The 26,069-nt window shown below is 56.0% G+C and overlaps 2 protein-coding genes and 1 long non-coding RNA gene across 6 annotated transcripts, besides 3 other annotated features; 2 read left to right on the top strand and 1 right to left on the bottom strand.

Moving 5' to 3' along the window:
• Window positions 1-1,903: 1,903 nt before the first annotated feature.
• Window positions 1,904-12,619, top strand: RPL3L (ribosomal protein L3 like). Of its 2 annotated transcripts, none has more exons than NM_005061.3 (10): window positions 1,904-1,964; window positions 2,445-2,637; window positions 3,551-3,719; window positions 5,614-5,749; window positions 9,213-9,399; window positions 9,495-9,655; window positions 9,867-9,968; window positions 10,663-10,758; window positions 10,975-11,094; window positions 11,700-12,619. In NM_005061.3, exons 1-10 carry the CDS (start codon window positions 1,962-1,964, stop codon window positions 11,754-11,756), a joined length of 1,224 nt encoding a protein of 407 aa, NP_005052.1. In that variant the 5' UTR covers window positions 1,904-1,961; the 3' UTR covers window positions 11,757-12,619. The 2 variants fall into 2 exon arrangements, with proteins under 2 accessions (NP_005052.1, XP_011520873.1); XM_011522571.3 differs by having other exon boundaries at window positions 1,904-1,979.
• Window positions 2,200-3,189: an enhancer, noted in NCBI's record as "H3K27ac-H3K4me1 hESC enhancer chr16:2003405-2004394 (GRCh37/hg19 assembly coordinates)". NCBI's record gives its function as "activates a minimal SCP1, AML or CMV promoter by ChIP-STARR-seq in primed H9 embryonic stem cells {active_cell/tissue: H9 hESC(primed)}" and the evidence as "EXISTENCE:reporter gene assay evidence [ECO:0000049][PMID:30033119]".
• Window positions 11,960-13,799, bottom strand: LOC124903625 (uncharacterized). The gene is made up of 2 exons (XR_007064940.1): window positions 13,712-13,799; window positions 11,960-13,608 (listed from the first exon to the last, which is right to left on the bottom strand). It is a non-coding gene; the product is annotated as an uncharacterized LOC124903625 (long non-coding RNA).
• Window positions 12,921-13,420: a silencer, noted in NCBI's record as "silent region_7010". NCBI's record gives its function as "represses an Ori minimal core promoter by ATAC-STARR-seq in GM12878 lymphoblastoid cells {active_cell/tissue: GM12878}" and the evidence as "EXISTENCE:reporter gene assay evidence [ECO:0000049][PMID:35858748]".
• MSRB1 (methionine sulfoxide reductase B1) lies at window positions 13,394-18,364 on the top strand. Of its 3 annotated transcripts, none has more exons than NM_001382264.1 (4): window positions 13,394-13,491; window positions 15,188-15,304; window positions 15,701-15,815; window positions 17,450-18,364. In NM_001382264.1, exons 1-3 carry the CDS (start codon window positions 13,437-13,439, stop codon window positions 15,811-15,813), a joined length of 285 nt encoding a protein of 94 aa, NP_001369193.1. In that variant the 5' UTR covers window positions 13,394-13,436; the 3' UTR covers window positions 15,814-15,815; window positions 17,450-18,364. The 3 variants fall into 3 exon arrangements, with proteins under 3 accessions (NP_001369193.1, NP_057416.1, NP_001369194.1); NM_016332.4 differs by having other exon boundaries at window positions 15,188-15,336; NM_001382265.1 differs by lacking the exon at window positions 15,701-15,815 and having other exon boundaries at window positions 15,188-15,336.
• Window positions 14,605-15,494: an enhancer, noted in NCBI's record as "H3K4me1 hESC enhancer chr16:1991100-1991989 (GRCh37/hg19 assembly coordinates)". NCBI's record gives its function as "activates a minimal SCP1, AML or CMV promoter by ChIP-STARR-seq in naive H9 embryonic stem cells {active_cell/tissue: H9 hESC(naive)}" and the evidence as "EXISTENCE:reporter gene assay evidence [ECO:0000049][PMID:30033119]".
• Window positions 18,365-26,069: the final 7,705 nt, after the last annotated feature.

Raw genomic sequence — 26,069 nt, 5'->3', positions numbered from 1 at the left:
ACAGTGAGCCGAGATTGTGCCACTGAACTCCAGCCTGGGCAACAGAATGAGACTCCATCTCAAAACAAAAACAAAAAAAACAAAACTTTACAACCATAGAATCTTTGAATTGAAAAAGATTTTGAGGGGCGCAGTGGCTCACATCTGTAATCCTAGCACTCTAGGAGGCCAAGGCAGGCAGATTGCTTGAGCTCAGGAGTTCGAGACCAGCCTGGGCAACATAATGAGATCCCCATCTCTATAAACAATACAAAAATTAGTGAGGCATGGTGGTAAGTGCCTGTGGTCTCAGCTACTCAGGGGGATGAAGGCAGGAGGATTGCTTGAACCCAGGAGACTGAGGCTGCAGTGAGCTATTACTGTGCCACTACATTTTAGCCTGGGCACCAGAGAGAAACCCTGTCTCAAAAAAAAAAAAAAAAAAAGAAAAAAAAATAAGATTTCAACCCCCTCTTCATTCAAAACTTAAATTCAAAATTTAAATTTGGCCAGGTGCTGTGGCTTATACCTGTAATCTCAGCACTTTGAGAGGCTGAGGCAGGAGAATCACTTGAGGCCAGGAGTTTCAGACCAGCCTAGGCAACATGGTGAGACGCCCGCCTCTACAACAAGACACATTTAAAAATTAGGTCCTGCTGAGGCAGAAGGACCACTTAAGCCCAAAAGGTTGAGGCTGCAAGTGAGGTATGATCACACCGCTGCATTCCAGCCTGAGCCATGGAATGAGACATTGTCTCTTTAAATAAGGCCAGGCGCGGTGGCTCATGCCTGTAATCCCAGCACTTTGGGAGGCTGAGGTAGGCAGATCACAAGGTCAGGAGATCGAGAACATCCTGGCTAACACAGTGAAACCTCGTCTCTACCAAAAATACAAAAAGGTAGCCGGGTGTGGTGGCAGGCGCCTGTAGTCCCAGCTACTTGGGAGGCTGAGGCAGGAGAATGGTGTGAACCCGGGAGGGGGAGCTTGCAGTGAGCCGAGATCACGCCTCTGCACTCCAGCCTGGGCAACAGAGCGACTCCATCTCAAAAAAATAAAAAAGATAAATTCATAAAAGTATTTCAATGATTGTGAATGACAGGAGTCAGATCTTGATTTTTTTTTTTTTTTTGAGACGGAGTCTTACCCTATTGCCCAGGCTGGAGTGCAGCGGCGCGATCTCGCCTCACTGCAACCTGCAACCTCTGCCTCCCAGGTTCAAGTGATTCTCCTGCCTCAGCCTCCCAAGTAGCTGGAATTAACAGGCCCACACCACCACGCCCGGCTAATTTTTATATTTTTAGTAGAGATGGGGTTTCACCATGTTGGCCAGGCTGGCTTTTTTTTTGTTTTTAAGACAGTGTCTCGCTCAGTCACGCAGGCTGGAGTGCAGTCAAGGTTCACTGCGGCCTGACATCCTGGGCTCAAGTGATCCTCCTGCCTCAGCCTCCCAAAGTGCTGGGATTACAGGCATGAGCCACTGCACTCAGCCAGGGATCTCAATCTGGAAGCACAGCTCTGGTGATCCTCAAGGTGCAGTCAGCCCTCCCCCTCGTCTGCCCTGTCCCCAGCCCTGCTCCCCGCTGTTTATCCAGCTGTCTCCCAGCCCTCAGGACAGGAACCCCCTCTGCCTCCAAGTCGGCAAACTGCTCCAGACCCCTCCTCTTGGCCGCTGCCTGGGAGAAGGCCCCCACCGGCTACCTTGGCCCCCACCTTGCCTGGCCAGTCCTGTCCTGGGAGGGTCATGACCCAGCCCCAGGGCCATCGAGGAAAGGAGTGCCAGCCCTGGCTCCGGGTGCCCCACTCAGGCTGTCTATCTGATGCCCCCAACACTGCCCCGCCCCTGCCTGCTCCTGGCACCGGAGACCCTGCTGACTGTGCCAGGGGCTAATCTGGGAACTGGCAGCTGTGAGTCCTGGCCCTGCCACTCGACCTCTGGCGGCTAGCGGCGAGGCCCCTTCCTGACCTTCAGGGATCGGCCACCATGGTTGGTGGGACCAGGGTGAGGGTGGGCTGGGGTTGGAGCTGGAACTCTGGGGGGGTGGGACAGCTGGGCTTCTGGATGCTCCCTCAGAGGGACAGTCTCCCAGCCTGTGAGGGGATGGGAGGCTGGAGGGGGAAACAAGGGGACGAGGGCTGGGCTCCTGGGCCTGGGAGGGCCCTGGAGATGAACAGATGGCAGCGGCCACCTGCCCCAGGAGCCCTTGGCTGCAGTATGGGTGCGACCCTCCTGGGCCCCAGGCTGAGCCCACAGAGGCAGGAAGCCTGTGGCTATGGAGACCCCATCCCAAAGACGCTGCCCCTTGGTGAACCTTCCTCTCCCCTCCTGTAGGCAGACAGGGGAGGTGCTGAGCACAGGCCTCAGTCTGAAGCCTGTAGTCCATTTCTCCAGGTATGGGTTCTGGGACCATCCAGCTCTACCACCAGGGACACCCCAGGTCTGACCTCCTTCCTTCCTGCCCCCCAGTCCCACCGGAAGTTTTCCGCCCCTCGGCACGGACACCTGGGCTTCCTGCCCCATAAGAGGAGCCACCGGCACCGGGGCAAGGTGAAGACGTGGCCGCGGGATGACCCCAGCCAGCCCGTGCACCTCACGGCCTTCCTGGGCTACAAGGCGGGCATGACCCACACCCTGCGGGAGGTGCACCGGCCGGGGCTCAGTGAGTCACAGTTGGGACCCTTGGGGGAGGGGGAGGGCTGAACCTTCCAGATGCTCGGAGCCAGAACTCACGCTTTTGGTCCAGACAGGGCCACAGTCCCAGGGAGCACCAGGCCTCGCCCCCGGGAATTGGGGTGGACGCTGAGCACAGGCAGGGCTTCCGGGCGGGTTCTGTCATGGCCCCAGCTCGCAGATGAGGACATTGAGGCACAAAGCAGTGAGGAACCTGGTCCAGTCACCGGGGCGGTAAGCGCAGGAGCTAGGATTCAAAGGCCAGCGCCCCAAGCCCTCGGTTCAAACCACCTGCCAGGACATCTGCACTTTTTGGCCATTTCGGGTCTATTTCATGTACCATTATTTCATATGTACGCCTATGTATATAGTTAGTTTTTGTTGTTTTAATCGTAGATTCACAAGTAGTTGTAAGAAATAATGCAGGCCGGGCATGGTGGCTCACGCCTGTAATCCCAGCACTTTGGGAGGCCGAGGCAGGAGGATCATTTGAGGCCAGGAGTTGCAGACCAACCTGGACGGCATCGTGAAACCCTATCTCTACAAAAAATACAAAAATTAGCTGGGCGTTGTGGCGAGTGCCTGTAGTCGCAGCTACTTGGGAGGCTGAGGTGGGAGGATCACTTGAGCTTGGGAAGTCAAGGCTGCAGTGAGCTATGATTGCACCACTGCATTGCAGCCTGGGTGACAGAGTGAGACCCTGTCTCAAAAACAGAAAAAGAAATCCATTGTAATCATTAGAATAACAAATGCTCATTTGGGCTCAGCCCCACCCTCTGGGGAATGCTGTCCTGGCTGGCCCCACACTCTCCTGTCCTGCCCCTATGTGGGCGGCTCTCCACTCCCTCCCCCACAGGCCTCAGGAGGTCCCCCTTCATGCCCCATCCCTGTGTCTCATCCAGAAATTTCCAAACGGGAGGAGGTGGAGGCGGTGACAATTGTAGAAACGCCGCCCCTAGTGGTGGTGGGCGTGGTGGGCTACGTGGCCACCCCTCGAGGTCTCCGGAGCTTCAAGACCATCTTTGCAGAACACCTCAGTGATGAGTGCCGGCGCCGATTCTACAAGGACTGGTGAGCACCGCCCTTGGCTGGGCCGTCCAAGGGCTGCTGGGACCACAGAAGTTGGGTGCCTGAGGCTCTAGCTCTTGCTGAAATGATAGGTGTGGGTGAGTAGGAAGCGAAGTCTCAACCGTCTGTGGGAGGTAGGAGTGTCTGTGTGTGTGTGTGTGTGTGTTGTGTGGTTGCCTTCATTTCAATAAAAGATGAGTAGGCTGGGCGTGCTGGCTCACGCCTGTAATCCCAGCACTTTGGGAGGCCGAGGCGGGTGGATCACTTGAGGTCAGGAGTTTGAGACCAGCTTGGCCAACATGGTGAAACCCCATCTCTACCAAAAAATACAAAAATTAGCTGGCTGGGGTGGTGCGCACCTGTAGTCCAGCTACTCAGGAGGCTGAGGTGGGAGAATCACTTGAACTGGGAGGTGAAGGTTGCAGTGAGCTGAGATCGTGCCACTGCACTGCAGCCTGGGTGGCAGAGTGAAACCCTGTCTCAATCTCAAGAAAAACACAAAAAACAAAAAACATGAGTACTAGAAGGCTGGAGATGAAATCAGGATGGAGGAAAAAGAGGAAACAAATATTCTAATCCTCAGGGTTAATTAAAAGGCTAATTTGGGCGGCTTGTGGTGGCTCACGACTGTAGTAGTCCCAGCACTTTGGGAGGCCAAGGCGGGTGGCTCATTTGAGGTCAGGAGTTCGAGACCAGCCTGGCCAACATGGTGAAAACCCGTCTCTACTAAAAATACAAAAAAAAAAATAAAAATAAAAAAATAAGCTGGGCGTGGTGGCAGACACCTGTAATCCCAGCTACTTGGGAGGCTGAGGCAGGAGAATCGCTTGAGCCTGGGAGGTGGAGATTGTAGTGAGCTGAGATTGTGCCGCTGCACTCCAGTGTGAGCGACAGAGTGAGACCCTGTCAAAAAACAAACAAACAAAAAACCAAAAGGCTAATTTGATGGAATGTTAGCATTGGCTCTGAGTTTCCTAGCAGCCATTGTGAAAAGTGAAATAGCCAGCTGAGAAGCTCTTACACATAGAAAGGTATTCTCGGGCCTCAAATCTTCCCTGGCAGTAAGTCCTGAAAGAAACCTTGGTTTCTTCACCTATAGAATGGGAATAATAATAATAATAATAATAATAATAATAATAATAATAATAATGTCCACCTCCCAGAACTCTGCTGAGGGTTAGAAACTATGGCTTCTGGCTGGGCACAATGGTTCATTCCTATAATTCCAGCACTTTGGGAGGCTAAGGCAGGCAGACCGTTTGAGCTCAGGGCTTCGAGACCAGCCTGGGCAACATGACGAAACCCGTCTCTACAAAAAAATACAAAAAATTAGCCGGGCACGGTGGCGCATGCCTGTGGTCTCAGCTACATGGGGGGTGAGGTGGGAGGATTGCTTGAGTCTGGGAGCTCCAGGCTGCAGTGAGCTGTGTTTGTGCCACTGCACTCCAGCCTGGGAGAGAAAGTGAGACCCTATCTCCAAAAACAAAAAAGAAAGGATGGCTCCCAAGCCCGAGGTGCCTGGCCATGGCACCCACTGCACCCTTGAGAAGTGGGACCAGCAGTCTGAGCCATGTGGCAGGTGGGGTGGTCTCTAGGTGCCTGGACTGCAGGGCTGGCCAGCCGCCTTCTCTGAGCTTCTGCACCTCTGCCACTCACTCTCAGGCCCCGGGAAACAGGGAGGGTACCTACTTTACAGAGGAGGAAACCGGGGCCTAGAGGGGGAGAGACAGTCTATGTTCAAAGATGGTGGCTGGAACCAGCTCAGAGGCCTCCGGGTGGGGGGCGGTCCCAGAGGTAGGACCCCTGCTTGGTGGGCTGGGGGTGAGGTGGGGGCAGGATAGGCCTGGGGAGCTGCCCCGGTTGGGGGCTTCTGAGCACCCTCCTGTGCATGGCTCAGGCACAAGAGCAAGAAGAAAGCCTTCACCAAGGCCTGCAAGAGGTGGCGGGACACAGACGGGAAAAAGCAGCTACAGAAGGACTTCGCCGCCATGAAGAAGTACTGCAAGGTCATTCGGGTCATTGTCCACACTCAGGTCAGCCCCCGGCCCTCCGCTGTCGGTCAGTCCCTAGGACCACGCTCCCTCACCCCAGCTTCCAGGAGCTGTGGCAAATGTCAGCCTAAAAATACCCGAGCCTCGGCACAGACCCAGAGGAGCGGCTGACCAGCCTCGCTGGCCACGTGCAGCCCCAGGCATGGCTGCTGAAAGGCATCGGTGCCTTCTGGGGTGCCAGGGGCATCAGCCACGCCGGCTAGTCAACTAAGACCCTGGCACGCCCTGAAGAGCCGGGTCCCCAGCCAAGTGTGCTGTGTGGAGGGCTGGTCACCTCTCTTCGGTTTCCAGCGTAAGTGTGCACAGGAATCCGTGTTTGTACATGGGTCTGGCTTGCTGTAGGCTGACAGGCAGGCGGCACCCTCCAGCTTATTCTGGAACACTCTTTGGCATCTTTGTCCTCAGGGAAGGCTTCCCGAGGCCCTAGAGCAGTGCCCCCGACCCTGAGCTTCCCACAGCCCCCACACTGCCCCCAGCTGCTCGCACACTTGTACACCATGCCTGGGCCAGTCACTGGTGTGTGTTCATCTCCCTGGACAGACTCCAGGCAGGCAGAGGCCCTGGGCGGGGCCACAGCTGCCACCAAGAGCCTGGTATGCAGGAGGTGCTCTGTAAATACCTGCCCCATACATACCCGCCCCATACATACCCACCCCATACATACCCACCCCATACATACCTGCCCTGTCCATACCTGCCCCCTACATACCTGCCCCGTCCATACCTGCCCCCTACATACCTGCCCCGTCCATACCTGCCCCCTACATACCTGCTCTGTCTATACCTGCCCCGTCCATACCTGCTCCCTACATACCTGCCCCCTACATACCTGCCCTGTCCATACCTGCCCCGTCCATACCTGCCCCTTACATACCTGCCCCTTACATACCTGCCCCTTACATACCTGCCCCCTACATACCTGCCCCCTACATACCTGCCCCCTACATACCTGCCCCCTACATACCTACCCCGTCCATACCTACCCCGTCCATACCTGCCCCGTCCATACCTGCCCCGTCCATACCTGCCCCGTCCATACCTGCCCCCTACATACCTGCCCCCTACATACCTGCCCCGTACATACCTGCCCCGTACATACTGCCCCGTCCATACCTGCCCCGTACATACCTGCCTCATACATACCTGCCCCATACATACCTATGGGTCACTATGTGTTCCCCGCTGGCCTCTCTGTCTCCACCTCTACATTGCACAGCCTGTGCTTCACACAGCACCAGCCAGAGACCTTACCAAAAAAAAAAAAAAAAAATCAAGCCAGACATGGTGGATCACGCCTGTAACCCCAGCACTTTGGGAGGCCAAGGCAGGCGGATCACCTGAGGTCAGGAGTTCGAGACCAGCCTGGCCAACATGGCAAAACCCCATCTCTAGTAAAAATACAAACAAATTAGCTGGGCATGGTGGGCGCCTGCAATCCCAGCTACTTGGGAGACTGAGGCAGGAGAATCACTTGAAACTGGGAGGTGGAGGTTGCAGTGAGCCAAGATCGCACCATGGCACTCCAGCCCGGGCGATAGAGTCTCAAAAAAAAAAAAAAAAAAAAAAGAAAAAAAAAAAAAACAAAAATCAGGCCCAGTGGCTTACACCAGTGATCCTAGCACTGTGGGAGGACAAGGTGGCAGCCCGGGCAACTTAACGAGACCTCATCTCTACAAAAAAATTAAAAATTGGCTGGGCATGGTGGTGCATGCCTGTAGTTCCAGCTACTTGGAGAGGGGTGCTGAGGCAGGAGGACTTCGAGACCAGTCTTGGCAACATAGGGAGATCCCCATCTCTACAAAAAAAAAAAAAAAAAGCCAGGCGCGGTGGCTCACGTCTGTAATTCCAGCACTTTGGGAGGCCGAGGCAGGCAGATCAGGTCAGGAGATTGAGACCATCCTAGCTAACGCGGTGAAACCCCGTCTCTACTAAAAATACAAAAAATTAGCCAGGCGTAGTGGCACAACCTGTAGTCCCAGCTACTCGGGAGGCTGAGGTAGGAGAATGGCGTGAACCCAGGAGGCAGAGCTTGCAGTGAGCCGAGATTGCGCCACTGCACTCCAGCCTGGGCGACAGAGCAAAACTCCGTCTCAAAAAACAAACAAACAAACAAACAAAAAAAAAACAACTGGGCATGGTGGTGAGTGCCTGTCATCCCAGCTACTCAGGAGGCTAAGGTGGGAGGATTGCTTCGGCCCGGGAGGCTGAGGCTGCAGTGAGCCTTGATCATGCCACTGCACTCCAGCCTGGGTGACAGAGCGAGACCCTGTCTCAAAATAAAAATATAAAAAAATAAAAATCAGGCCAGGTGCAGTGGCTCATGCCTGAACCCTAGCACTTTGGGAGGTCAAGGTGGGTGGATCGCTTGAAGTCAGGAGTTTGAAACCAGCCTGGCCAACATGGGAAACCCCAACTGTACTAAAAATACAAAAAAATTAGCCGGGCATGGTGGCACACACCTGTAATCCCAGTTACTCAAGAAGCTGAGGCAGGAGAATCACTTGATTCAGGGAGGCAGAGGTTGCAGTGAGCCGAGATCGCCCCACTGTACTCCAGTCTGGGCAACAGAGCGAGACTCCATTAAAAAAAGGCCGGGCGTGGTGGCTCACGCCTGTAATCCCAGCACTTTGGGAGGCTGAGGCGGGCGGATCATGAGGTCAGGAGATGCAGACCATCCGGGCCAACACAGTGAAACCCTGTCTCAACTAAAAATACAAAAAATTAGCTGGTCGAGGTGGCGGGCACCTGTAGTCCCAGCTACTCAGGAGGCTGAGGCAGGGGAATGGCGTGAACCCGGGAGGCAGAGCTTGCAGTGAGCCGAGATCATGCCATTGCACTCCAGCCTGGGCGATAGAGCGAGACTCAAAAAAAAAAAAAAAAAAAAAAATCCAATCAGATCACATCGCAGCCTGCACTTGGAAGAAAGTCCGAGCTCCCCACTCCCAGGTGCTGGCCCACGCCCCTTGCTCCCCACCGTCTGCCCACACTGGTCTCCTCTCTGTCCCACCAACTTTCCAAGGCCTCCTCTGCCACCAGGCCTGTGCAAATGCGGGGTCCTGCTGCCCAGAGCCTCTCCAATGTTTGCCTCGTGGCTCCTACTTGTTAGCAGCGGCACCTTCTCAGAGAAGCCCTCTCTGCCCTGACCACTGTATCTGAAACACCAGCCCCCATAGCCCATCAGAGCACTCTGTCCTCTCCAAGAGTTACTTGGTTTCCTTCTGTCCCCCAGTGAGATGGTGGCTCCCGAGGTGTGGGACTCTGTCTGCCTCATTCTGCACCGGATCCGCAGTGCCTAGCACAACACATGGGTTGCAACCTGATCCTGGGAACACCTGTGAATGAATGCATGCGTGGAAGGCGGCAGGGGTCACTGCTGGCCATGCCATGTTTCAGGTGGGGGTGTGATCCCGTGGGCCGTGGCGTGACCTCCGGCCATGTCCTGCAGATGAAACTGCTGCCCTTCCGGCAGAAGAAGGCCCACATCATGGAGATCCAGCTGAACGGTGGCACGGTGGCCGAGAAGGTGGCCTGGGCCCAGGCCCGGCTGGAGAAGCAGGTGCCCGTGCACAGCGTGTTCAGCCAGAGTGAGGTCATTGATGTCATTGCTGTCACCAAGGGTCGAGGCGTCAAAGGTAGGGCTCAGTGAGGATGGCAGCTCCAGGGCAGGCTGCCTGGAGGCAGTGGGGACCAGCCTGGCCTCTCAGCCACCAGCCCCTCTCACTCACAGGGGTCACAAGCCGCTGGCATACCAAGAAGCTGCCGCGGAAGACCCATAAGGGCCTGCGCAAGGTGGCCTGCATTGGCGCCTGGCACCCCGCCCGCGTGGGCTGCTCCATTGCTCGGGCCGGGCAGAAGGGCTATCACCACCGCACGGAGCTCAACAAGAAGGTGCGTCCTCAGCCGGGGTACGGGGACACTGTGTGGTCGGACCCCAGCCCTCAGTACTGGCCTCAGTGGGTGGGGTGCATGACCCAGACACTGCCGGGGACACAAGATGCCCCCACCAGCACTGAGTCTGAGCATGTGGGCGGATGGGCCTGGATGGGCTGCTGGCCTCAGAGGCCACTTCCTGCCCCTGGCATGTGCCCCCTTCTGGCAGATCTTCCGCATCGGCAGGGGCCCGCACATGGAGGACGGGAAGCTGGTGAAGAACAATGCATCCACCAGCTACGACGTGACTGCCAAGTCCATCACACCGCTGGTGAGGCTGGGAGGGGGCGACTGCCAGGCCCATCACACCGCTGATGATGGCTGGAGTGGGGTCAGGCTGGCCGGGGGGCCTGGTATACATGTAGGGGGCATGCCCCAGCCTCAGCTGGACGCTCCCTGCCCCAAGGGCTCAAGATTTTTGCCCCACAGCTGGACGCTGCCCCGCCAGGCACACTGGACAGAAGACCTTGACAGCTGGGCAGTGATGTGGGACCCTTGCCTTGGCTGTCCAAAACATTTGGATATAGTCACAAGCAAGAAATCTCTGCTGCGTCCCACATCCTCCGAGCCTCCTCTGGAGGCAGCTTCCACTCCAGCTGCTGTCATGTGGGTGTGGAGTGCGGCAGCTCCTACTGTGGCCTGGGAGTCAGGCCACCTGGGCTCAAACCGCATCTCCAGGACTTAGCAGCTGTAGAGGCTGGAGCAAGTGACTCCACTCCTCTGATCCTCAGTCTCCCCCAACAAAAATGCAGACTGTCAAGTGAGATAATGCATGAAAAGGACTTAGCTTGTGACTCAGATGCTGCCCTCAGTAGGGGCGGCGTGATAGTCACCCCTACATCTGGGGGCTGGGCACGGGGCTCCTGCCTATCACTGCCCCCTCTGGGGGTTCTGCTAGGGCCCCCAGCCACCCACTAACTCAGAAGCCCTTTCCGGGCCTGGCCTCTGACCTGTGTCCTCTGCAGGGTGGCTTCCCCCACTACGGGGAAGTGAACAACGACTTCGTCATGCTGAAGGGTTGTATTGCTGGTACCAAGAAGCGGGTCATTACGCTGAGAAAGGTTGGCAGTGCTGGGTGGGCTGGGGAGTGGGTGCCCGAGGGCTGCCAGCCTGTCCTGCCCTGCGGCCTGCTACGAGCGGGATGGAGTGGTGGGAGCAGAAGGGGAGGGCTCTGGTAGGAACTAGGTGAGCAAGACCTTCCTGGTGGGGCTTGGAGGTTCACAGCAGGGTGTGGGGGATCCCCACACTTGATGTTTACTTTACCATGGATTCCCCAGTCCCTCCTGGTGCATCACAGTCGCCAAGCCGTGGAGAATATTGAGCTCAAGTTCATTGACACCACCTCCAAGTTCGGCCATGGCCGCTTCCAGACAGCCCAAGAGAAGAGGGCCTTCATGGTGAGCTCACCGCCCCCATCCTTGTTCTTCTCTGGGGCTCCAGCTCCACATCCAGCCTGCCCGAGTAGGGAGCTGGAGCTGGCAGGGACTCCCCTGAGCTCAACTGCAGGAGAGACTCTTTTTTTTTTATTTATTTTATTTTTTGAGATGGAGTCTCGCTCTGTCACCCAGGCTGGAGTGCTGTGCCGTGATCTTGGCTCACTGCCACCTCCACCTCCTGGGTTCAAGCAATTCTCCAGATTCAGCCTACCCAGTCGTTGGTACTACAGGCACGTGCCACCACGCCAGGCTAATTTTCTGTATTTTTAGTAGGGATGGGGTTTCATCGTATTAGCCAGGATGGTCTCTATCTCCTGACCTCATGATCCGACCGCCTCGGCCTCCCAAAGTGCTGGGATTACAGACATGAGCCACCGTGCCCGGCCTGCAGGAGAGACTCTTAAGGGTCTATCCCTGGGCACTGATTCTTTAGAAGAGAAGGTGGGGGAGGAAGCAGCCTTAGGGGGGCAGTAGGGCCGGCCCTGAGTGATCTAGAGCCTGGCTGGGGGAGGGCGTGTTTCTGGCCAGAGTGACTAAGGCTCCTCCTGCACCACCCTCTCAACCAGGGCCCCCAAAAGAAGCATCTGGAGAAGGAAACGCCGGAGACCTCGGGAGACTTGTAGGCTGTGTGGGGTGGATGAACCCTGAAGCGCACCGCACTGTCTGCCCCAATGTCTAACAAAGGCCGGAGGCGACTCTTCCTGCGAGGTCTCAGAGCGCTGTGTAACCGCCCAAGGGGTTCACCTTGCCTGCTGCCTAGACAAAGCCGATTCATTAAGACAGGGGAATTGCAATAGAGAAAGAGTAATTCACACAGAGCTGGCTGTGCGGGAGACCGGAGTTTTATGTTTTATTATTACTCAAATCGATCTCTTTGAGCATTTGCGGAGCAGAGGTTTTTTTTTTTTTTTTTTTTGAGAGAGTCTTGATCTTGTCGCCCAGGCTGCTGGAGTGCCGGGGAGCAGAGTTTTTAAGGATAACTTGGCGGGTGGGGAGAGCCAGTGAGCCAGGAGAGCCGATTGGTCAGGGAGGAAATCACAGGGAGTCAGCTGTCTTCTTGCGCTGAGTCAGCTCCTGGGTGGTGGCCACAAGATCAGATGAGCCAGTTTATCAATCTGGTTGGTGCCAGCAGATCCATCAAGTTGCAGGGTCGGCAAAATATCTCAAGCACTGATCTTAGGGGCAGCTTAGGGAGGGTCAGAATCTTGTAGCCTCCAGATGCACGACTCCTAAACCATAATTCCCAATATTGTGGCTAATGTTAGTCCTAAAAATGCAATCTAGTCCCCAGGCAAGGAGGTGGTCTGCTTTGGGAAAGGGCTGTTACTGTCTTTGTTTTAAACTATAAACTGGCTGGGCGCGGTGGCTCACGCCTGTAATCCCAGCACTTTGGGAGGCCAAGATGGGCGGATCACCTGAGGTCGGGAGTTCAAGACCAGCCTGGCCAACATCGAGAAACCTCGTCTCTATTAAAAATACAAAATTAGCTGGGCGTGGTGGCGCATGATTGTAATCCCATCTACTCGGGAGGCTGAGGCAGGAGAATTGCTTGAACCAGCGAGTTGGAGGTTGCAGTGAGCTGAGATCGCGCTACTGCACTCCAGCCTGGAAACAGAGTAAGACTCCGTCTCAAAAGAAAGAAAGAAAGAAAGAAAAAAACAAAAAACTATAAACTGAGTTTCTCCCAAAGTTATTTCAACCTACCAGCAGGGATGAATAAGGACAGCTTGGAGGTTAGAAGCAAGATAGAGTCGGCTGAGTTAGATCTCTTTCACTGTTTCAGTCATCATTTTGCAAAGGCGGTTTCACCTGGGCGCGGAAAGGCTGCATGACCTCCGGCAGCTCCGGGCTTAGTACCAGGGACTGGACTGGGGGGACACGACCCTACGGATTCGCGCCGTCGCCCACCTGGCCAGGCCCCATGTGCGCCCCTAGCCACCAGGGCGCGAGGGGCGGCAGGGGCGGGGCCTTGGGGAAGCGGCCTAGGGGTGGTCCCTGGGAGTTTCCATGGGCGGGGCCTGCTGGGGAGATGCGATTGGACTGGCACCGGGGGGCGGGGCCTTGGGGAAGTGGCCCAGGAGTGGTCCCAAGGAGTCAACGTGGGCGGGGCCAGCTGGGAAGATCGTATTGGACCAGCCCTGAGGAGGGGCGGGGCCTCCCGGAGGCGGAAGCCGGGATTCGCCCTCCGGGGAGCGATTGGTCCTCGGGAGGGGCGGGGAGGTGGACGCGGGTACCGGCGGTCGTCGGGTCGGCAGCCTTTGGTCAGTTGGCAGCGGCAAGCGCGCTGCGGTTCCGGTGGCGCCATGTCGTTCTGCAGCTTCTTCGGGGGCGAGGTTTTCCAGAATCACTTTGAACCTGGTTGGTCCTGCGGCCTCTCGCTGGGAGGGCAGCGCGGCGGGGGGCGCGCATTAGCGGGGGCGCCGCCGTCGTCCGGGGGTGATGTCTCTCCCAAGCCGGGAATGGGGGCGAATGTGGCTGCCGGGGAGAAGCGAACAGGGGTCAAAAGGACTGCGGAGGAGTGGGGAGCCTGGGGGCGAGGAGAGTGGGGTACCCGAGGAGAGGGGGCCTTGGGGCTCACCGTCCTGGAGGGGGCAGGCCTCGAGTGTGAACGTGCCGTTTCGGGGGTGGGTCTAAGGGATCGGGATACGTGGGGGTGGTACCCCTTCCCTACCCCCTACACTCCAAAGTGATGGCGCTGGGGGAATTCGGGTTAGGGTCGGGGCTTCGGAGAGGCCAGGTTCTTGTCCAGGGCCAGCTCCTGTGGCCGGGGCGCCCCTTCGCGGGTCATCCCGCAGGTGTTACCCTGGCCCTTCCCATTCCCCCGAGTCCGGGATCTCTGGGAGGAGTCTGGCAAGCATAGAATGTCCCCTTCAGATCCTAATGTGCCGGCCCAGGTGCCTCCCCACCTGCCCAGGGACTCCAAATTGGGGAACCAGGAGTGCCACCAGGCACCTGCCAACAGCCCGTGAAGTTTGACCAGGCAGGCAGGATGGGGTGGTTTGGGGCATGGCCAGCCCTCCACACTGGCCCTGATGAATCCCTTCTGGGCTGGGCTCGCCTGGTAGTGGACTAATTTGGTAAAAACACATCCACAGGCAAGTCTGAGTGCACTGGTCTCCTTGGGCGGATCTGCTGGGTGGCACCCCTGTAGCGGGTTGGGCTGTGACACAGGACCATCCCGGCAAAGCCTCCCCCAGCAAGACTCTCTGGCTTTAGATCCCAGTTGTCCTCAGGCTGCTCTGCCAAGCCAGAAACTCCACTTCCACAGCAGCTGCTGGCTTCTCTTTGCTTTTTTCTCCAGTTCCTGGAAAAGGCTGGGTAGTTTACAGTCTCCAGGGGAGGCTGTCCCCAGGTGATGGGTGAGAGGTGACTCAGCACCCCTGGAGGTTCCTGTTTTCAGTCCTTAAAACAGTTCTGCAAGTCAGTTTTGCAACTTTCCCACCCCCTCCACTCCAAAGGGATCCTTTGTGGGTAGGCTGAAATCTGTTGTCCCCAGCCCTCTTTCTTCCTGGGCTCCTGTGTGGCCTGGAGGCCTTTTCTCTGGGACTGTTCTCTTCCTGCCTGGAGAGCAGAGCAGTGCCTGGGTATCCAGCTTAGGGCCTCGTTGGGCAGCAGGGAGGACCACTTGAGAAAGGAGAGGGACCAGGTGGTTGGGCCACATCAGGGCCCCTGCCCTCTATGTTCCTGGGGGAACTAGGGGGGCGAGGGGGAGCTCCGTGTCCTCATTGGACTACCCAGGTTCCTTCACGCTGCACACACTTGTAGCTGAGTGTCTGCATCACCAAGCAAAGATGGAAATGTTAGGATATGCCCCGTCACGGGGCTATGAGAAGAATCAAGGAGATAATTGTGAAAGGTGACTCCCCTGGTCTCTGGCACATCTACTAAACGTGAGCTCAGCACAGCGCCTCCCGTGGCGGGTGCCTGGGGAAGGAGCACAGCCTACCCTCGGAACGGGGGCAGCGCTGTCTTTGCCTGGGTTGGTGGATTTGGGAGCTTGACCCCGGAAAGGCGGGAGCTGATGACTCCACATTTGCCTCTCCTTCCACCACAGGCGTTTACGTGTGTGCCAAGTGTGGCTATGAGCTGTTCTCCAGCCGCTCGAAGTATGCACACTCGTCTCCATGGCCGGCGTTCACCGAGACCATTCACGCCGACAGCGTGGCCAAGCGTCCGGAGCACAATAGATCTGAAGCCTTGAAGGTGAGAGGCCACAGGGGTGGGGGAGGGACGGGGGCGGCCAGGGAGAGCAGAGAGCCAGTCCCACCTTCCTCCCTCTGCTTGCCCCACAGCTCCAGGGGCTTAGAGGCGTCTATTCCAGGCCTGTTGCCTCTGCCAGGGAGCTGCCACCCCAGGCTATCGGGAGAGCCTGGCCTTCTGGTGCAAATGTGGGAAACAGGACAGGTTTCCTGTACGGGCTCCAGGACAAAGGTCAACCTCTTATGTCGGCGGTCAGCTTGGGAAATAGGCGTGTGGGAAGAAACACCATCTGCCAGCCCCAGTAAGGGCCTTCACTGTGGCTGTATCATGGCCAGAAGCTCACCCAGCTGCCTTGTGATCTTTCCAGGTGTCCTGTGGCAAGTGTGGCAATGGGTTGGGCCACGAGTTCCTGAACGACGGCCCCAAGCCGGGGCAGTCCCGATTCTGAATATTCAGCAGCTCGCTGAAGTTTGTCCCTAAAGGTGAGCTTGCTTTGCACAGCTGGGGCCAGGCCTGTTGGCCTTTGAGCCCAGGCTGGGGGGCCCAGTGTTTGTGCTTGTCCACTTACCATGACAAGGTATGGGGCCACCAAGTCACGCTGCCTGGGAACTGTCCAGGATCCCCCAGAAAGGTGGCTGCAGCGCAGGGGCAAAGGAGCTGGTGTTCCGCTTCCTCGCTTGGTTGATCATGACTGTCCCAAAAAGGGGCTTCAGCGTGAGAATGTGGCAAATGGTTTTCCTCAGAGGCCTGGCCTTTCCCAGAGGCTAGAGTCAGGGGCGGGGCAGGCAGAGCCTGAGGCCCCAGTCTGTGCGGCTGTGTCTCCCACTGGCTAGGACTGTGGCCTTGCTTCTTAGCCGCTCAGAGCCTGCCTCCTCCTCTGCAGAGTGGCGGTGGTAGCAGGGCTGTGAGGACAGCTGCGTGTCACGTGCACCTGGGCCTGGCACACAATAATAGCTTGATGAATCCTCATCCTTTTTTTTTTTTTTTCTGAGATGGAGTCTTGCTCTGTCGTGCAGGCTGGTGTGCAGTGGCGCGATCTCAGCTCACTGCAACCTCTGCCTCCTGGTTCAAGCAATTCTCCTGTCTTGGCCTCCCAAGTAGCTGGGATTGCAGGCACGCATCACCACGCCCAGCTAATTTTTGTATTTTTAGTAGATACGGGGTTTCACCATGGTGGCCAGGCTGGTCTTAAACTCCTGACCTCAGGTGATCTGCCCACCTTGGCCTCTCAAAGTGCTCGAATTATAGGCATGAGCCACCACGCCCAGCCCACACCTGGTTAATTTTTAATTTTTTTTTTTTTTTTGGTGACAGAGTCTTGTTCTGTCACCCAGGCTGGAGTGCAATGGCCAATCTCAGCTCAATGTAGCCTCTGCTTCCCAGGTTCAAGTGATTCTTCTGCCTCAGCCTCCCGAGTAGCTGGGATTACAGGCTCCCACTACCGCGCCTGGCTAATTTTTGATTTTTTAGTAGAGACGGGGTTTCACCATGTTAGCCAGGCTGGTCTGGAACTCCTGACCTGAGGTGATCTGCCTGTCTCAACCTCCCAAAGTGCCGGGATTATAGGCGTGAGCTACCGCACCCAGCCAATTTTTAAAATTTTTATAGAGATGGGGGTCTCACTATGTGGCCCAGGCTGGTCTTGAACTCCTCTGGGCCTTGGCCTCCCAAGGTGCTGGGATTACAGGCTTGAGCCACTGCCTCGCCTGAAATGGGGCTGTTAACAGCACACGCTTGTGGCCATCACCGTGCTGTGGGGTTGAGCGAGCAGCCTGTCAGGATCTGGTGCGTGGTAAACCTGCGATGTTTTCGTCCTTTTGTTGTTATTTGTCCTCCGTGTGAGTGGAGGGAGAAGAGATTCTGGGTTCTCCTGTGGATGTCAGAACAAAATGGGGTACACAGACTCCCCTGAGTCGGGCATCTGGTCTTTTCAGCTCCCCTGTGGCCTGCAGGCCAGGGCAGAGTGTGAAAGCGCAGGGAACGGCACCTGAAGCTCTGCCTTGCAGTGACTTGCTTTCTGCCCCTACCCTGGCTTTCCACCGCCCCCGCGCCCGGCTTTCCGCCCCTGCTTGCTTTCTGTCCCCGCATACTTTCCGCCCCCTCTCCTCTCTTTCAGGCAAAGAAACTTCTGCCTCCCAGGGTCACTAGGCGGGCAGCCCACACCCACCCCAGACGGCCACCACACTGAGGCCACACGTTGGCCATTCCACCTTGGAGTTGGAACCCTGGGCGTCGAGACAGGAAGGCAGGGCGCAGTGGTTGAAACATCAGGACACTCCCAAGGCCCCGGCTCTGAACAAGACCTTTTCGTTTCTTGGAAAAGAGACTCATTTGCTGATGGTTCATGCCTTCTGCTGGGACAGGCCTGGGCTGTGCAGCCACACTGTCGGCTGACTTAGCCCCCTGCTCACTCTAGGTGCCTCCAGGAGGTGAGCCCTGGGTGCAGCTGGTCTCTGAATGACGTTACACCCTCACCTTCTTTTCCTGGCCCTGTCTCTGGACTCTCCCCTGTGAGGCCCAATTCCAAGACAGACTCTCGTCCTCACCGAAGCTTAGGCCCACATCTCCCAGGCTGCTTAGGAGACAGAATGGAAACGGAGGCCGCCCCTGCCAGCCGCCCTGGCCCTGGTCACTGCATGATCCGCTCTGGTCAAACCCTTCCAGGCCAGCCAGAGTGGGGATGGTCTGTGACCTGCTGGGAAGGCAGGCTGATGGGGCACACCCTTGGCCTCTCGTCCACGAGGGGAGAAACCTAAACCCTGTTTCACAATCTGTGCGGAAGTAGCTTGCCTCACTTCTGCTTAGGAAAGCGGCTGTTGCTCCATAACTCTAACCAGCACAGGGCTGAGGCCTGCAGTGCACACCTGCAGGGAGGCCCTTCCCAAGGTGTGGTGACTGTGCCTTACTGTACATGCTCGGAGGCCTGGCCATATAGGAGGGTGGGTGATGCTGAAATCACCCCCCATCTTAAGTAATTACTTTCTGGAGTAATCAGGTGGAAATCCATAGACAAATGAAACATTCAGATGTACTGTCTTTTTTTTTGTTTTGAGATGGGGTGGGGTCTTGCTCTGACATCCAGGCTGGAGTACAGTGGTGCAGCGTGGCTCACTGCAGCACTGACCTCGCAGGTTCAAGTGATTCTCCCACCTCAGCCTCCCAAGTAGCTGGGACCACAGGTGGGCACCACCATGCTGGATAATTTTTACATTTTTCTGTAGAGATGGGGTCTCACTATGTTGCCGAGGCTGGTCTTGAACTCCTGGACTCAAATGATCCTCTCACCTTGGCCTCCCAAAATGCTAGGATTACACATGTAAGCCACCTTGCCCCGGCCCTGCTGTCTTTATTAACAACATCAGAGATGCCAGGACATGAGTGTCAGGCCTTTATATAGTTAAAAAAGGCAGGCATGGTGGCTCACGCCTGTAATCCTAGCACTTCGGGAGGCCGAGGCAGGAGGATCACCTGAGGTCAGGGGTTCAAAACCAGCCTGGCCAACATGAGGAAACCCCGTCTCTACTTAAAAAATATGAAAATTAGCCAGGCGTGGTGGCACACACCTGTAATCCTGGCTACTCGGGAGGCTGAGGTGGGAGAATGGCTTGAACCCAGGAGGCAGAGGTTGCAGTGACATGAGATCCTGCCACTGCATTCCAGCCTGGGCAACAGAGACTGTGCCTCCAAAAAAAACCCCCCAAAAACCTTTTTTTGCAAATATTTACTGAGTATCCTTTCAGTAAATATTTGCAAAAAAAAATATGGCTGGGGGTGCAGCTGTGAACGAGATAGGTGAGACCCCGCGCTCAAGGTCTCACAGCATAGCTGGGGAGACCTGGTAGTGAGGTAGTGTCAGAAGATGATAGGGCTGGGAGCAACTGCAGCAGAGTAATGATGCTAGGATGTGTGGAGGAAGCTCCAGGGGTCAGGGAGGGGGACTCAGGAGGGCTTAGCTCAGCAGTGATGGGCACAGCATGTGCACAGGCTCAGCACACATGGGGCCTGCCCCAGGCCCTGGAGGGCACGGAACAAGGCTCCACAAGAAATGCACCATTTTCCCAATTTATACCCACAGAAATCCGGGGAGCATGTGGGAGTGGATTTTAAGGGTGGATGTTTCACCCTGCAGAACCCACAGCTGGCATCGCCCCAAAAGCGGTGGCCAGGAGTGCCCCAAAGGGCACAGGATGGCCCCAAAGCATTGCAAGATGGGGCCAGTTGGGATCTGAACTAAGGAACGCTAAACGCCAGGGTGAGCACTCCAGAGCATTTATTAGGGGGACTTACAGAAGGCCGCAGCGTATCCTTGCAACAAAAGCGAGAGAGAAGAGGTGCCCTCCCTTGATATCTCTGCAGCAAGGGGACACGGTGTGGAGTGGATATGGAAGTTTAAGGGATTTGGCTCAGGGCTGGGCCAGTTTCTTTCAGTGTTTTAGCCCACAACCTAGATTTTTTTTTTTTTTTTTTTTTTTGGAGACAGAGTCTTGGTCTGTCATTTAGGCTGGAGTGCAGTGGTGAGATCTCGGCTCACTGCAGCCTCCGTCTCACGCCTGGGTTCAAGCAATTCTTGTGCCTCAGCCTCTTGAGTAGCTGGGATTACAGGCGCTCGCCAGTATGCCTGGCTAATTTTTGTATTTTTAGTAGAGATAGGGTTTCGCCATGTTGGCGAGGCTGATCTCGAACACTGCACCCAGCCTAGAATTTTTTAATTTAATTTTTAAAAAATTAGAGATAGGGCCTTACCATCTCACCCAGGCTGGTCTTGAATTCCTAGGCTCAAACAATCCTCCTGCCTCAGTCCCCCAAAGTGCTGGGATTACAGGCGTGAGCCACATGCCTGGCTGCACTTTGTGATTCTTGGTCAGGACACAGAAAGAAAGCAGGGGAGGCCAGGTGTGGTGGCTCATGCCCGTCATCCCAGCACTTTGGGAGGCTGAGATGGGTGGATCACCTGAGGTCGGGAGTTCAAGACCAGCCTGGCCAACACGGTGAAACCCTATCTCTACTAAAAATACAAAAATTAGCTGGGTGTGGTGGCGCATGCCTGTAATCCCAGCTACTTGGGAGGCTGAGGGATGAGAATCACTTGAATCTGGGAGGTGGAGGTTGCAGTGAGCTGAGATTACACCACTGCACTCCAGCCTGGGCGACAGAGCGAGACTCTGTCTCAAAAAAAAAAAAAAAAGAAAAGAAAAGAAAAAAAAAGCAGGGGGAACCAGGAGACCCTACAGTAGGGATAATGGGGAAAGGAACAAAAAATTGGGTCAGGTTGCGTTTATTGATACGGGCCCACTAAGCAGAGGTTCTGGACCTCGTGCTACCACTGCTGGGGTTTGACTGGTTGGTTGGTGAGCTACAACACAGACCAAAAAGTGACCTACACAAAGTGAGGCTGAAATGCCAGGCCTGCCTCTCTGCGTGGCAGAGGATGGGACTCAAAGGCTTGGGGAGGTTGGAGTGTCAGAGTGGATTTATCTTTTGAGACCTACTCACCCACCCCTGGAGAGGAGAGAGGACACACCTCTTACCACCCCCACGAGAAATAAATTTGTGAGGGGAACACTCCTCCTTCATGAGCTCTGTGATGGCCTTTCTCCAGCAGATCTGGAATTACAGTGGCAACTGCAGTCCCTGGGTTGGGAAACCTACGTGCAGGGGAATAAGTGGATCCCCTGGGGGGCAGGGGCCAGGTGGCAGGGCTCAAAGGCTCAAAACAAGGTGGGCGTGGCCGCTGCAGTGCACAGCAGAGGTGAACCAGCGATCACAATAGTCTGACTCACAGAGACCCACAGCGTTGACTTGTGGATCATGGTGTTCCCAGAAGTGAAATAGACAGAAGCCGACTGAACTCTTTTTTTTTTTTTTTTTTTTTCCTGGAGACAGATTCTCACTCTGTCGCCCTGGCTGGAGTGTAGGGGCGCGATCTTCGCTCACTGCAACCTCTGCCTCCCGGGTTCAAGCAATTCTCCTGCCTCAGCCTCCGGAGTAGCTGGGACTACAGGAATGCGCCACCACTCCCGGCTAATTCTTGTATTTTTAGTAGAGACGCGGTTTCACCAAGTTGGCCAGGCTGGTCTCGAACTCCTGACCTCAGGTGATCCTCCTGCCTCGGCCTCCCAAAGTGCAGGGATTACATGAGCCACCGCACCAGGCTGACTGAATCTTACTTAATCTGTGTAAGCAGAAGAGTTCTAGGTCAAGTGAACAAAAGTCTAAGACAAATAAAAAACCCAGAGTTAGGCTGGGCATGGTGGCTCACGCCTGTAATCTCAGCACTTTGGGAGGCCGGGGAAGGAGGATCACTTGAGCCCAGGAGCTTGAGACCGGCCTAGGCAACATACTGAGACCCCCACCCCTGCCATCTCTACAAAAAATACAAAAATTAACTAGGCACGGTGGCACACACCTGTAGTCCCAGCTACTCAGGAGGCTGAGGCAGGAGAATTGCTTGAGCCCAGGAGGCTGAGGCTGCAGTGAGCCTTGATCATGCCACTGCAGTCCAGCCTGGGTGACAGAGTGAGACCCTGTCTCAAAAAAAAACAACCCTCCAGCCGGACGTGGTGGCTCACCCCTGTAATCCCAGCACTTTGGGAGGCCAAGGTGGGAGGATCACCTGAAGTTAGGAGTTCTAGACCAGCCTGGCCAAAATGGTGAAACCCAGTCTCTACTAAAAATACAAAAATTAGCCGGGCGTGGTGGCGGGTGCCTGTAATCCCAGCTACTCGGGAGGCTGAGGCAAGAGAATTGCTTGAAGCTGGGAGGTGGAGGTTGCAGTGAGCTGAGGTTGCGCCATTGCACTCCAGCCTGGGGAACAAGAGCGAGACTCCGTCAAAAACAAAAACAAAAACAACAACAACAACAACAAAACATCCAGGCGCGGTGGCTCACGCCTGTAATCCCAGCACTTTGGGAGGCTGAAGCAGGTGGATCACGAGGTCAGGAGATCGAGACCATCCTGGCTAACACGGTGAAACCCCATCTGTACTAAAAATACAAAAAAATTAGCCGGGCGTGGTGGCGGGCGCCTGTAGTCCCAGCTACTCCGGAGGCTGAGGCAGGAGGATGGCGTGAACCCGGGAGGCGGAGCTTGCAGTGAGCGGAGATCGCGCCACCGCACTCCAGCCTGGGCAACAGAGCGGGACTCCGTCTCAAAAAAAAAAAAAAAAAAAAAAAACCCCAACCAATCAAACAAACAAAAAACCCATCTCCCGAGAAAAACCAGAACCACGGCCCTCAGTGAATTCCCAGACTGGAGCCAGGTCACAGACCTAAAACCTCCATTCAGACCCACACCGCTGTATGGAGGGGACCAGGGTGCCTTGAGGAAGGACCCCCCAAATTTATCCTGTTCGTCTTTTCCCAGCCTTCTCCAAAGGGATCTCTATGGCAGTGCACTGGGGAAAAGGAGATCATGAGACCTTCTGGGGACTCCTGGATGCTGGCTCTGAACCGATGCTAACTCTGGAGTCAGACGTCACTGGGTCAGAGTAGGGGCTTATGAAGGCCCAGTGACTGAGGGAGCGTTGGCTCGGGTCCGATCCCAGTGGACCTGTCCCGTGGTCATCCCCGGTTCCGGGTGTACAATTGGAAGAGGCACCCTCAATGGAAGGCAGCGTCCCCCCACAGGAGGGGCAGTGCCTGCAGTACAGGCCACAGTGGAGACCGGGGAGAGGCCAGCCGTGCTGCCAGCCCCTTCAGCCTGCTCACCCCTCACGGAGCTGACTCTGTCACCTGCCAGCCCCTCCGCAGCCCGGTCTAGCAGTCCCTGCTCTGACGTGGAGTCAGTGCCGTGGCAGAGGCCGCTGTCTCCCTTGCTGGCCTCGGACTGCTTGCGTGACCCTGATCTTGGGCGGGACATTCGACTTTCCTCTCTTTGTGCCTCCCTTAGTGGCACCCAGCCTGTCTTCCGGTTGGATGAGGGCACAGGAGAGCCACCCGGGGCGGGCAGGGGATGCTACAGTTGAATGGGTGCTGTGTGCACTGCCCTGTGGGTCAGAGGCCTGACTCCTGGCGCTGCTGGCCAGTGGGCTCTCCGTCTAGAGGTAGGGGCGCGTGGGGCGGGTGCTGGGAAGAGTCAGTGTTGATGAAAGCACCAAGGGCCCTTCGGGGAGGACCGTACCCAGAAGGGGCTTCCTGCTGCTTGCCCCTCCCCCAGCATGTGCTGTGGCAGCCTCCTGTTCTAGCAAATGTCTCCATCTCTGCCCTGCTGGGGGCCAGAACTGAGGCTAGCTGCCAGAATCTCCCTGGAGCTGCGGAGAGCAGGGGGGTGTCTCTCAACCCCTGATTCCAGCTCCCACCCATGCCCTGATTTTTTTACACCTGGACCCCAGTGTGTCCGACGCTGGCCACCAGCTAAAGTGGAGCCCGCTCTGGGGCTGCCCTGGCCACCCAGTGTCTTCGTTGGCTCTCGGGCACTGTCCTAGCCCAGCCTGTGGCCTGCCCACCCCCTAGTCCAGCAGGTGAGAGCAGGCCCGCTGCAGCGACTGACCCCAGTGCAGCAGGTACTCTCCTTAGCCTCATTCTTCTGGGGAGACAAGGGGGACTCAGAGAACGCGATTAGTCTGAGGCCACACAGCTGGGAGAAGCCCTGTGTCCTCTGCCGCCAGGGACCTGAGCCACTCCAGGCCACATGTGGCCGGCTGCCAGTGGCCTCTGATCAGGGTCCTTGTCCTGCCATGCTGAGTCATTTGGTGATGGCGGGTCTGGCAGGGGGTGCACAGGGCTCCCAATACTGTTCTAGGCAGCCAGTTCAGGTCCTCTATGCCCACACCTGTCCCTTTCTGCTTCTCCCTGCAGGAGGAGCAGTGGCTCTGGGAAGGGCTCTGTGGGCAGGTCCTGTGGAAGGCGGCTCTGCTGCGGCAGGGAGGGAGCTGCTGAATGGGCAGCAGGCTTCCCAGGCACAGGGCCAGGCAGGGGCCTGGGCTGTGCTGCCTTCTCCCAGCACTCCCAGCTCTGCACCTGGGGCCAGTGTTTCCCCGAGAGTGGACTCAGGCCCAAGAGCAGACTGGCCTTCGCCTGCAAACTGGGCCCCTGTGTGCAGGGTTTTGTCCCCAGGGCTGTCTACCAGGCTCAGGCCGGTAGCTGGGTGGCTGGAGGCCTGCTGGCGCCTGGGGATCTCAGCCACAGCAGTGCAGGGGTGGTGATCCTGGTGGGGGCTGGGGAGTAGTGCCTCCTGCCTGCATCCCAGGGCCCCAGGCTCATCCAAACATCCATGTTAAGGTGGTGGGCCGGACACAGTGGCTCACGCCTGTAATCCCAGCACTTTGGGAGGCCGAGGCAGGTGGATCACCTGAGGTTATGAGTTCTAGACCAGCCTGACCAACATGGAGAAACCCCATCTCTACTAAAATACAGAATTACCCGGATTACCCGGGCGTGGTGACCCATGCCTGTAATCCCAGCTGAAGGGGAGGACTGCCCCTCCACACCTGTGGGTATTTCCAGTCGGGTGGGACGAGAGACTGAGAAAAGAAATAAGACACAGAGACAAAGTATAGAGAAACAACAGTGGGCCCAGGGGACCGGCGCTCAGCATACTAAGGACCTGCACTGGCACCGGTCTCTGAGTTCCCTCAGTTTTTATTGATTATTATTTTCGTTATTTCAGTAAAAAGGAATGTAGTAGGAGAGCAGGATGATCATAAGGAGAAGGTCAGCAAAAAACATGTGAACAAAAGAATCTATATCATAATTAAGTTCAAGGGAAGGTACTATGCCTGGATGTGCACGTAGGCCAGATTTATGTTTCTCTCCACCCAAACATCTCAGCAGAGTAAAGAATAACAAGGCAGCATTACTGCAAACATGTCTCACCTCCCACCATAGGGTGGTTTTTCTCCTATCTCAGAACTGAACAAATGTACAATTGGGTTTTATACCGAGACATTCAGTTCCCAGGGGCAGGCAGGAGACAGTGGCCTTCCTCTATCTCAACTACAAGAGGCTTTCCTCTTTGACTAATCCACCTCAGCACAGACCCTTTACAGGTGTCGGGCTCGGGGACGGTCAGGTCTTTCTCATACCACGAGGCCATATTTCAGACTATCACATGGGGAGAAACCTTGGACAATACCCTGCTTTCAAGGGCAGAGGTCCCTGCAGCTTTCCACAGTGCATTGTGCCCCTGGTTTATTGAGACTGGAGAATGGCAATGACTTTTACCAAGTATACTGCTTGTAAGCATTTTGTTAACAAGGCACGTCCTGCACAGCCCTACATCCCTTAAACCTTGATTTCATACAGCACATGTTTTTGTGAGCTCCAGATTGGATCAAAGTGGTTGGGTCAAAGTGGCTGGGGCAAAGCTACAAATTAACAACATCTCAGCAAAGCAATTATTTAAAGTACAGGTCTTTTTCAAATGGAGTCTCTTATGTCTTCCCTTTCTACATAGACACAGTAACAGTCTGATCTCTCTTTCTTTTCCCTACACCAGCTACTCGGGAGGCTGAGGCAGGAGAATCGCTTGAACCTGGGAGGCTCAGGCTCAGCCTGGGAGGCTGAGGCTCAGGGAGGTTGTGGTGAGCCGAGATGACACCATTGTACTCCAGCCTGGGCAACAAGAGCAAATCTCCGTCTCAGGAAAAAAAAAAAAAAAAAGATGTGGTAGGGAGGTGGGGGTGGGAGGGGGCAAGTGGGCTCAGGAGGTGGGGGGGGTGCCGGCAAGCAGACTGCTTGAGTGGGGAGACGGGTGAACCGCAGGACCCCAAGGCCCCCTCACATTGAGAGTCCAGGGA

The sequence above is a fragment of the Homo sapiens genome, chromosome 16 (genome assembly GCF_000001405.40).
Source record: "Homo sapiens chromosome 16, GRCh38.p14 Primary Assembly".
Taxonomy (NCBI): domain Eukaryota; kingdom Metazoa; phylum Chordata; class Mammalia; order Primates; family Hominidae; genus Homo; species Homo sapiens.
This window is presented reverse-complemented; position numbering and strand designations above follow the sequence as displayed.